Raw genomic sequence first — 12,398 nt, forward strand, 5'->3', positions numbered from 1 at the left:
AAAATGTTTTTCCAGTTCACATGACCTTAGATAAGTCTTTTAATTATTACTCTAGTAAATAATATTCAGTTCATCAGTTTGAATAAAACAGATACGTCTTCAGAGTTCAATATTAAGTATAATGCAGACAACTTTTTCTACTGAGGGTTACTGGTAAAATGCATGTACGTTATTTTTATATTACAAAATTTGTCAGCAAGAAAAATAACTTAAAATGATGGCTACCTGTTTAATGCCTCATTTTTATAAGCAATCCAAGCACAATTGTTAAAAACAAATGAGCTGAATACATATAAAATTCTCATGTGAAAAATGTTCTTTCTATACCAGAAGATTTTAACATTCTTATCCAGAATGCAACGTTGAGGCTGAGAGAAATCGGTACAAACAATTTAATTATTAAGCCTAGCAAAAAAAAATAAGACAATAGAGATAAACTATTGCCTTCCTTACAGCTTCTTATTACAGAGAGACTAAAGATAGGTGAGTCTATTAGTAAGCATGTCCTGTGGCACATTGAAAAGTGTACTATGATAAAGAAGATGCTTCTAGAATTATGAAATGGTGGTGTTAAATTACACAATGTTGGTATACACCAGGCAGTTTACAATTGCTTGCTTCTTAGCTTTCACTGGAAATTAAGGTTATTAAGGGTTAATAATTGACATAAGTAACTAAAATTCATAGAAATAATATGGGAAACAACATTTTATGCAAGTTCACAAGGAAGGCAAAATGTGTTTTTGGTAAGGAAAACTATAAGTCATGAGGATGTGCTTTGTTTTGTTAAGGGAAAAAGTAATTTTTGTTAAAATAGAATGATTGGCTGTTGCACAATAAGAAAAGAGAAAAATATAGGACAAAAATTGAAGGTATATAAGAAAATTATAGAAAGTTTATATGACAAATCTTGGGAAAGGAACTTTATGTGTGATCAAGCTGGCTAAGATTTGAAGGAAATTGTTTACATGTTTTTGAAATTGAGCATTACTATCAAAAGCAAACTGACATAAAACTAAAATTTGGTTCTCTCTGTTAAAACAATAAGGTTTTCCTGGACTTCTGGTCTGCTTTCAATAAGAAATTGTATAAGGTTTTCCTTTACCTTTTAAGTAATTGGCTTAGGGAACAAAAATTCTGCTTATGTTTTGTTTTTTAAGATTATATATTTATGAAGATAATTTCCTGTGCTTCACGTTGTCCTTATTAAGTCTTTGATTACTTAATAAAATCTAAGGTTTTTCCTACAACTATGTGGCTTTCTGTATTTGCTTTTGAAGTCTTTTAATTATCACTCTAATTAAATGAATAAGTATTGATTCACAGTGACCTGTGATCCTATTTTAATCAAATGTTTTAAACTTTTTGACATTTTTGACAATTTCCATTTTTGACATTTTTGATAAATTATAAATTAAAACCTTTTGACTTTGAACTAACTTTGGAAGCTTTCATATGGGCCCCTGGAATCTCTCAAATAAATTTATTTCCTGCTCTTCTAAAAGCAGGGATTTTTAACCAATTAGGCTTATTTGATAATATGTTAAAATGCATGGGAAATATTGTCAAATAAGTGATTCTGAACCTCCTTTAAGTCATACTGGATGTGTCATGAATACATGTTTCAGAAATTGTATGAAACACCTAGAGATCTGATAGTCCTGGTATAATGCTATCAGTCATAATTCTAGTTATCTAAAAATATTGTATGTCACAGAAATAACAAAATTTCCTTGTCAGTTGCATTATAATGAGCTCTAGTCAGATCTTTAACTATGGCTGTTTTAACTCTTGTTATCCCCAAATAGTTAATTGTTTTACTCTGATACTTTCCTGAAAGCTATTTCTAGTATCTATAAACCCAAAGTGTTTTATCTTTGATAAGATTCATTGAAAGGCGTTTGATAACTGTAAAGATTTCTGATAACTTTAGGATCATACCATTAGACTGTTCCCGGAAATCTGGGAATTCTTAACTGATTCATAAAACTGCTAACCTAACATCAAGCAGAATAAGAATTAATTGAATACCAAGAAAATGCCTTGATAGATTTTCCTTCTGTCAGAACATGCAATTTGAATGAATTTCATAAGGTTGATCCAAGTCAAAGCATCTATGATGATCTATTTAATAAATAGTGCTATGCACCTGATTGTTGAAAAACAAAGTTGGTATCTGAAAGGATGTAAATTTCATGTTAAGAAAAGACCCAGAGAGGGCCCAGATAGCCACCTTATCATTCTTGAGTCCTTAAAGCTTTCATTATAAAAAAAGTCTGTACTCTGCATAGAGTAGATAAAATCATACAAATTATGAGAAAAATCAGTATATTGACTGTTCTAAAATTTTTTAAATGATGTATAAACAATACTTAGTTTGCCAAACCCATAATCCTGGTAAAACAGTAAAACCTCAGGTGTTACATTTCCACTACCTGCTAAATCATTTGATACTTACAGATGGATTTCATTCCATTTTCAACCCTCAATGGGATATCAAAATGCTCTTGAAATAGCCTGTACATTCTCTGATTGGATAGAAGTTTTCCCCTGCAAGAAGGTCTATGCTATTACTATAACTAAAAGATTATTGGAAAATGTGTTTCTTTATGTACTGTACTCTTAAAAATCACTGAAAGTAGATTTTAAGCATTCTCATCACAAAAAAAGATAAGTACAGTAGTCTCCATTTATTCATGAAAGATACATTCCAAGACCCCCAGTGGATGTCCAGAATTAGAAATAATATCAAACCCTATATACACTATGTTTTTTCCTATGCATATATATCTATGGTAAAGTTTGATTTAAAAATTAGGCACAGCAAGAGGTTAACAACAATAACTAACAATAAAATAGAACAATTATGACAATATACTTTAATAAAAGTTATATAAATATGGTAGCTTTTTCTCTATCTCAAAATATCTTACTATATTGTACTCTTCCTTCTTCATCTTATGATTATATGAGATGATAATATGCCTGTGTGATGAGATGAAGTGAGGTGAATGACCTAGGCATTGTAACACAAATGGAAAATTTCAGAAATAAACAATTCATAAGTTTTAAATTGCATGCCATTCTGAGTAGCATGATGAAATATTGTACCACTGCACTTCATCCTGCCCAATTGCCATTAGTCACTTAGTAGCTGTATTGGCTACCAAGATCAACAGTAACAGTAACAAAGCACTTGTGTTAAAGTAGCCCTTGTTTTACTTCACAAGAGCCCAAAGTGCAAAATTAGTTATGAAATATCTTTGGGTCATGATTGACCACAGATAACTGAAACCACAGAAAGGGAAACTGTGGGTAATAAGGGATTACTATATGTGAGGCAATGCATACGTTAATTAGCTCTATTAAGTCATTCCATGATCTATACATTTTTCAAAACATGTTATACACAGCATCTGTACAACTTTTATTTGTTAATTAGAAATAAATTGATTAATTAATTAGGGGAAAAAGAAAATATGTTTTTGGCAACCGGAGGCATTCTGGAGAAATCTTCCGCAATAGAAGTACTAATTTCACTGAAAAAGTTATAAAACAGTTAAATGAGTTATTACAAACATTACCATTATCCCTATCATATTCAGTCTTCTGGGAAAGTTGAAAGGACAAGTGGCATTTAAAAATTGAAATTGGCAAAGTTAACTGAATCAACTAGATAGTTTTACTAAAGACATTATCATTGGCCTTGATGGAAATCATATCCATCCCTACTGGAAAACACAAATTAACCCCTTATGAAATAGTTACTGGGAGATCTATGTACCTAATATTAAAACCTTCTGTATCTCCTGCTCTTATAAACTCTGACATGATTCAGTGTTGCAAGGCTTTAATGTATTATGCCAATGTATATTTTCATCAGTTAAAAGGAGCCTTCTGTGACCCACAAATGATAACCAGATATTTAACAAACTAAGACTTAAAGACTGCGTCTTTTGGGAATGACACCAGAGAAAGACTGCCTTTTCACCCTGTTGGAAGTGATCATACTGTATTCTCACCACCCACACATCAGCAAAACGTCAAAGCCTCAAGCCTGGGGTCCATATCTCTCAACTCAAGAGGGCCCCTCCAGACTCAGGAGTGTACTCCTGTTGGAGACCTCAACTTATCAGAGAGCTTCCTCCCAGAAGCAAGTGACATCCCACATGTGGACAGCTTTCCCTGGATCACAGATCAAGACTTCTTTCCTCTGTCATCATGAAATGTTTACTCTTTTTCTTCTTTTTCCTGCACCACTATTCTGTTTATGCATGGGAAGATAATGCTATGGTTATAATTTCACAATTGATAGCTTCCATAGGAAATTTAACTGAATGATGAATATGTCATATTAAACCTAAATCCCTACATGGTCTTAGAGATCCTCTAGTTTATCCTATAACAAATTTCATTCATATTCCAAGTGCAACTACTGTTCAAATTGCACATCTGATTCTTTCCATAGTGTTAGGCTTTTAGATTCATATATTCACAGTGTTTGTTTAAATCTGACAGCAGGCAAAAACTGTAGTGAGGGTTTTGCAGGTTTTTTTTGCCAGAAGCCACATAAGAAAATTAAAGGGAAAGATAATTCAACAATTTCTACACAAATTCCTAACCCTAATTTTCATTATCCTCCTGATAGTCATCATAGCAGTCTCCCTGGTACACTGTATCACGAGTCTTAAATGCTTGTATGCAGCCATCCACTATGCATCAAATGGTCTCAATCTGGTTAGAATAACAAAAACACAAGGAAAACATAAAGCATCAATCAATTGACCTGACACCCTGACTTGTGAATTCCATACTAAGACCAAACAAGTCCATGAGGATGGTAACAGAGAGTGGTGTCAATGTTGAAGGTTTTGAGAGGCTGACCAAAAGGGGGAAATTATTAAAGCAAAATTGGCAGGAGTCCATTAGCCTGAGGCTATCTTCATACTTTGAATTTCTATAGCAAACTACAATAAAACATAGTATGTAAACAAACTGAAGCCTAACTTAGCAGTAACAAACAGCCAGGTTTCAGCCAATCACAGACAGACAACTGAACAGCTTCTGCCAATCACAGTCAGTCAACTGACCAAACTGTAATCAAATAAGGCAAATGCCTAGTTGTAGCCAATCAGATGATTTATCTCCTTTGTTTCTGTGCTTGGCCTAAAAAAGTTCACTGCTCATGCTGCTGGGCAAAGCTCTCTGAACTACTTGTTCTGATTACTGCCCTGTTCATGAATTGTTCTCTGTTAAATGTATCTAAAGTATTTATTTTAATACCTATATGAATGCATATATATATCCACCAACAGACATATGCAAGAATTTTATAGCTGTATAATTTATAAATGTCCAAATATTTTCTTAATCCAGTCTATCATTGTTGGACATTTGGGTTGGTTCCAAGTCTTTGCTATTGTGAATAGTGCCACAATAAACATACGTGTGCATGTGTCTTTATAGCAGCATGATTTATAATCCTTTGGGTATATACCAAGTAATGGGATGGCTGGGTCAAATGGTATTTCTGGTTCTAGGGGAGTGGAAGGATGGCATTAGGAGATATGTCTAATGTAAATGATGAGTTAATGGGTGCAGTACACCAACATGGCACATGTATACATACGTAACAAACCTGCACGTTGTGCACATGTACCCTAGAACTTAAGTATAATAAAAAAAATATAAAAAGCCCAAATAGGAAATAATGCTAATGTCTATCAACAGCAGAATTGTCAAATAAATTGTGTAATATTCATTTAATGGAATAACATAAAGCAAATAAAATGAACAAACGAGTTAACACCACAACACAGCCAGTGTTGTGGTGAACAGTTAAACAATAAGGCTACTGTGAAGATTAATGAGATTATTGCTATAAATGGCCTGTTGCTTGGACTCTTCAAAGTTCCTCTACTTACCAACTGCACTTAACTACACAAGTATGTCTTGGTAACATTTATTTCACTTCTTTAGTGGAAGGATCCTTTCTGATGCTCAGCCTGTAACATTACTTTGCATCTACCTGATGGCCTTCTGAGCTGCTGGCCTTAAGAAAAGGTGGTATCAAGAAGGAGCAAAGGACAGCATGAGCACTGACTATGGGGAAGTTCTGAGTGAGGTTCTGCTGAGTTATTAATGGCTGTGGTCCAAGAGTAAAAGGAAGAGAAATTTTATTGTGATCTATAGATTTATCAGCAAGAGAAAAATTCTCCCTACTGAGCAGCCAAAGAACATAGGATACAGAGTGTGGGTGACAGAGCTGCAGCCCACACTGCAACACAGTTCAGAACCCTGAATAGGGAACATACTGTGCACACATGACAAACTTTCCTATCCTATGGTCTTGGAAAGGAAAGCACAGACAAGCTCTGAGAAATGGACAAATGGCTGGGAAATCATGAGAGAACTTTCACACTCAGAAAGTTTGTATGGCATATAAACAGCCTCTTTAAATGTGATCCAGACTATGAGTGACAACTCTAAATGTTCTTTGATCCACATCTGTGGATGTAAGATCTGTGTACAAGTAACCTCAAATACTAGTCAACCTGTAAAAAACAAACAACAACAACAACAAAATCAAGAGTTCAGTAGTGGAGGCTTTTACACTTTGGAGTCAGAGTTACACATGCTGTAATCTCAGGATTTTGTCAGCTGCTAGCTGTAAGGTGTCTAAATTAATCTTTCTGAGGTCAACTTTTATCATGTCTGAAGGTGGTGTAACAATATCTACCAAACAACAGAAGTATTATAAAAATAAATAATATATGTAAAGTACATATCACACTGGTTAGTGAAAAAATAACTACTGAATAATGGCTGTCATTATTCAGTAGTTATTTTTATATATACTAGTTATATATATAACTAGTATATATATATATATACTAGTTATATATATAACTAGTATATATATATATACTAGTTATATATATAACTAGTATATATATATACTAAATAAATATATACATATATACACACACACACACACACACACACACACACATACATTCATGCTTTCAAGTAGCTCAAAGCCTCATGATGGAAGTTAGTATTAAATCATATGAGAAATATATGCAGAGGTTTAGATTTGTCATCAAACCAAATCTAGGGACTGACTATCTAGGAAAAAATTGTTCTCCTGAAGAGAATGGACATTTATGGTTCCATATACGCTATATGCTAGATGACAATGCATGCTATATAATATTATAATGCTTTCTAACTGGGTTACGCCAATCCACAATTCCCCCATCAATGTGTAAGTATCACAAGTTTCACAAAAACCATGCTTACATAAGGTGCTATTTTGTTGTTGTTTGGACTAACTTCTAGACTTTTAGGATACGTTAATTTCTAGAACTTCATGAAATGTTTAACTGTTCTTCATGATTTTTAGGAGACAGTTAACTAACAAGCATTATAGAGCTGTTCAACTGAGCAAATTGGTTTTCACCACTACCATAGGTTGATGAGGCCCATCAAACAAAGAGTGTGAGAAAGCATAAAAGAGACTTGTTGTGCTCTAAAATGATACATCCTTAATCCGGAAGCTCATGCAGTTCTGAAGCTCTTTCACAAAGCATTTGCAATTATCCATCAAATGTGCTTCCCAAGAGCATTTTGAAAACTCAAAATTGGGGGTTATTTTCGCACATCCCAGTGTTTACAGGCTTTCACTGGTTTTTAAATTAATGGAAAAAGTATGACAAAACAAACACAATTTTTTTCTTACAAGAACCTGTTTGAATGCCCATTGTGCTTTTTGACAGTAAACACCAGGTAGGAAATTCAAGGGTTTTTTTGAAGTCAGTGTGCACAATTTCCTATTTACTCTTAAAGAGTAATTTGTTAAGAAGTTTCTTTATTTGCAGGAATGTCTCATCATCTCAAAAGCAAAATAATCATTAATAGTGACAATTATATATGACAAAAAGGATTAGGTCTTATTAGAGAAGAAAGCCAAATTTAAGTAGCTTGTGATAAATTATTTTGCAAAGTAATGCTGAATATGTATTGAAATATGTGTATGTTTGTGCATACCTGTGTATGTATATGTTTATGTATGAGTGTGGGTACATATATATATTATATATATGTCATTGTTACTGTCTACTGTCATTGCTGACTACAACACCTGTGATTATGGTTTTGATATCACAGACATATATAATCATACTGTGACAGTATTTGTCATTCCTTCTATTATGTGGAAGGGTGGTAACAAGGACCCACTATGTAGCTAATAACGTCCAAGAATCTTGAGAAACCCACTACAACACTGAATTGCTCTCTCATTTTCTGTTTTAAAAAAAAGGAGAAAGAAGAAATCATATGTGAAGTATATCATTGTGCCCTCTACAATTTGTGTGAAACAGTTCAAGACAGTTGTCACCTGAATTAGGTGTGGCCTTCTCTACCACTTTGGAAATAAGACTATTTATTGTACTGTTATTTCTCTTCTATGGTAACTTGCCTATCATTCTTGAGAGTGCAGCACTGAGAATAAGTCTCATTTTTAAAATAACCCACATGACTTGTACTATAAGGATGTTGTTGAGGATGCTGTTTGCTACATCAAACAGATCTTCCTGATGAAGACAGGTTAGAAAAATGTTGCATTAGTTCATTTTTCATGCTGCTCTGAAGAAATACCCATGATTGGGTAATTTATAAAGGAAAGAGGTTTAATTGACTCACAGTTTTGCAGGACTGGGGAGGCCTCAGGAAACTTACAATCATGGTGGAAGAGGAAGCAACTACGTCCTTCTTCACATGGCAACAGGAAGGAGAAGTGTCAAGCAAAGCGAGAAAAAAACCCTTATAAAGCCATCAGATCTCGTGAGAACTCACTCACTATCATGAGAACAGCAGCATGGCTGTAGCCACCCCCATGATTCAGTTACCTCCCACTGAGTCCCTCCTACAATATGTGGGGATTATGGGAACTATAATTCAAGATAAGATTTAGGTGAGGATACAGCCAAACCGTATCAAATGTCTTTCAAGCCCTATGTCAGGAATAATTGAGCTTCTCATCAGTAACTTACCTATTTTCATCTCATGAACATTGGGCCTACTGTAAATGAATGACTGTACTTCTTTTGCCTTGGCTTACCATAAACTTTGTGAACAACCTCTGGCAAATAATACTAGACCACACTACATAGTGGCTATGAACCAATCTTGTATATGAATTCACTTTACCTTTTCCTTTCTTTACACTTATTTCATTTTTGAAATTGCATTATAAAAATTTTAAGCCCCTTAAATTATTTCTGGCAATGCAAAATAGGCATCAATATATTTTCTTGGTGTATTTATACTAATCAATCATCTGCCTTTCCCAAAGAACTGTGAGAGATACCAACATGAATCAAATATGGTTTCTGCTCCAGTTTGGGAAAAGACCTACACATAAATAAGTATAATAGAACAGAAGTAGGTAAAGGTACAGAAAAAAATATATGGAAATTGAGGAAAGAGAGACATGAATTGCCCTTAGTGGAAAAAAAGGATAAGGGACATGTGGTGAAGTAAAATGAGCAATGCTGTTGCTTACTAGCTGTGTGATCTTGAACAAATCACTCACCTTCTTTGTGCCTCAATGTCCTCATCTGCAAAATGGGAATAGTAATATCTTGCTATATAATTAAATGAGATAATGTACTTAGCACAGAATCTAGCACAAAGTAAATGCTTAATATATTTTAGCTGATATAGATAAATTTTAGGTACTATGACAGAGATTATATCAGAGCTGAATTTTTATGGAAAAGTATAATTTGAATATTTTGATATGGGAAGAAAAAATATCCAGTACTACAAAAATATACAAAGAGAAAAGGAACAGAGACAGGAAATCATTGTACATGCACAAGAAAGAGTATGTAGAAGAGTTTGACTAGATCTATAGCACTCAAAGAAAATCAGTCAGACATAGGCTTAGAATGGTAGGTCTTCATAAAAAAGCTTAAACAGAGATAATGAATTTGGGATTTATTCAGGAGCCATGGGAAGCATTTTGAAGTTTTAAATGAGTACATATTGCAGTCAAATTAATTGGAGGACAAATTAATTAAAATGTGAATACAAATAATTACCAGTGAAATGATTAGTCCAGTGGCCCTAGTAAAAGGTATTGATATCTGAATTAGTGTATTTGCGGAAAGAATAGAAAGGAAAGAACAGCTGCAAGATAGTCATGGTCTACAGATGCTTCAGAATCTGGCAACCTTTTGGTTTTGGTGTAAAAAAAAGAGGAGAGAAATCAAAGTCTATGGTTTTAATTGTAGCTAATAATAGATATTCAATTTCATCAAGAGACGGGAAGCTAAGGAAGAAGAGGAGTGATGAAGGTAAGTTGATCAATTCACAATAGGATGGTTGGCATTTGTGACGGTGATGGGCTACAAGAGCTAAGGTGCCAACGAAGTTGGAAATGAAAGCACTCAGATGAGGAACAGAAGTGGAGGTAAAGAATTGGGAGTCACCTTCATTGCTGAGCTGTCAAATTAGATGAGCTTTATCAGACAGAAAATAAGGGAGAAGATAAAAGAGGTAAGGATCGGCCTTTGAAAAGCATTATATTTAGGACTGAGAGGAAGAAGAGCACCAAAAAGGAGTAATTGATGAAGCAGGAATAAAATCAAGGAAATTTGGTGCAACCCCAAAATCATAGAGTTCCATTCAAATGATGCAGTTTTCCTTCATCTTTTGCAATTTTTTTAAAATTAGAGCTTTATGTAATTGGAGTAAACACTTCCCCCAAGATAATGCCATTTAAATTTTTTTCTAAACATAAGAATTATATCCTGAGGTAGCTTAAATCTGGAAAATTCAACAGAAGGAATTTGACTCCATAAAGTATGCTTCAGTCTCGATAGTCATAAATATTACTCCAATTATGAATTAAAATTTTTCAAAAGAAACTAAATTAAATCACAGTATATTTAGTGTAACTTTTGAAAAATGCAGCACTTCTGTGTAATATGATACTATTGTTTCTCCACTAATTCATTTTCTATATCATTTGGGACAGATAAGTACACTTTCCTTGCAATCTGACTATTTTGCTTCTGTTTGTACATGTTGCCTTCAGATTTTCTTCACTTCTAAAACTCTATTATCATTTGGCATTAGGGGAATCATTTTTATTAATATTTTTCCCTTAACAGTCTATTTTTTCATGCTTAATTTCTAACATACATTTTTAAAAACTTAAAAAGGACCATTGGTAGTAATTGATTGGTTATTACAGTGACCTGAAATCTTCAAAATCCATGAGCAAATGAGAACCAATAGGCTTATATGAATATTAAAAGATTTTTCTATTTACCTCTCCCAACCAAGTCCCTCACAGTGATTTTTTGTCACTTTTTGTGACACACTTGGGCTCTCTTGTTCTTTCCTTCTACTCTCCTCCATTGCCTATAACTCTGCTTTTGAGTCACACGCTTCTACTGCCCTGTGTTGATGCCTTCAATTAAAGCAAGGCTTTCTGGTGCATGAACTTTAAGTTATCAAAAACAGAAATGTAGTAGGGCTCTCCACAAAGACAAAACCAATAGAATATATATATAAGTAGATAAGAGAGGATTAATTAGGAAAATTGGCTCACACAATTATGGAGACTGAGAAATCCCTCAATAAGATGTCTGCAAGTTGGAGAACCAGTGACTCTGGAGTGTGGCTCAGTTCAAGCCCAAAGGCCTCAGAACCAGTGAAGCTGATGGTGTAACTCTTTGCCCCAGGCCAAAGGATGAGAATCCAGAGGTGTGGGAGGTGGGTAGTGGTGAAAGTCCTAGAATCCAAAGGCTAGAGAACCTAGAGTTCTGATGCCCAAGGGCAGGAGAAGGATGTCCCAGCTCCAGGAGAGAGAGAGAAAATTCACCTTTCATCTGCCTTTTTGTTCTATCTGGCTCCAGCAATTGAATGATGCTCACTCACATTGAGGGTGATCTTACCCACTCCACCCACCAAATCACATGCCAGTCTCCTTCAAAAATACCCTCACAGACACACCCAGAAATAATGGTTTACCAGCTGTCTAGGTATTCCATAATCCAGTTAAATTGACACTAAAAAATTAGCCATCACAAATGGTATGTTCCTTTCGATCATGCATGCACCAAAATCAAATTATATTCCACAGAAATAGTGAGAATGCCTATGCAGCTCCCACACTGTCTATCAAACAGGGCTGGAGAATAGATAATGTTTTCCCCATCTCTCTCCTAAGGTGTCCATTTCAAAATGCCCTCCATAAAGTCTCTCTTTATTCTAATGCAAATTAAATCATTTAAATGCGTGCCTATGATAACGCACATTTCAGCTATTTATTAGATTCATTAGACCGTGATTTCCAGTTCAGACCAAGCTAGTCATCTTAA

This window comes from Homo sapiens, chromosome 9 (genome assembly GCF_000001405.40).
Source record: "Homo sapiens chromosome 9, GRCh38.p14 Primary Assembly".
Taxonomy (NCBI): domain Eukaryota; kingdom Metazoa; phylum Chordata; class Mammalia; order Primates; family Hominidae; genus Homo; species Homo sapiens.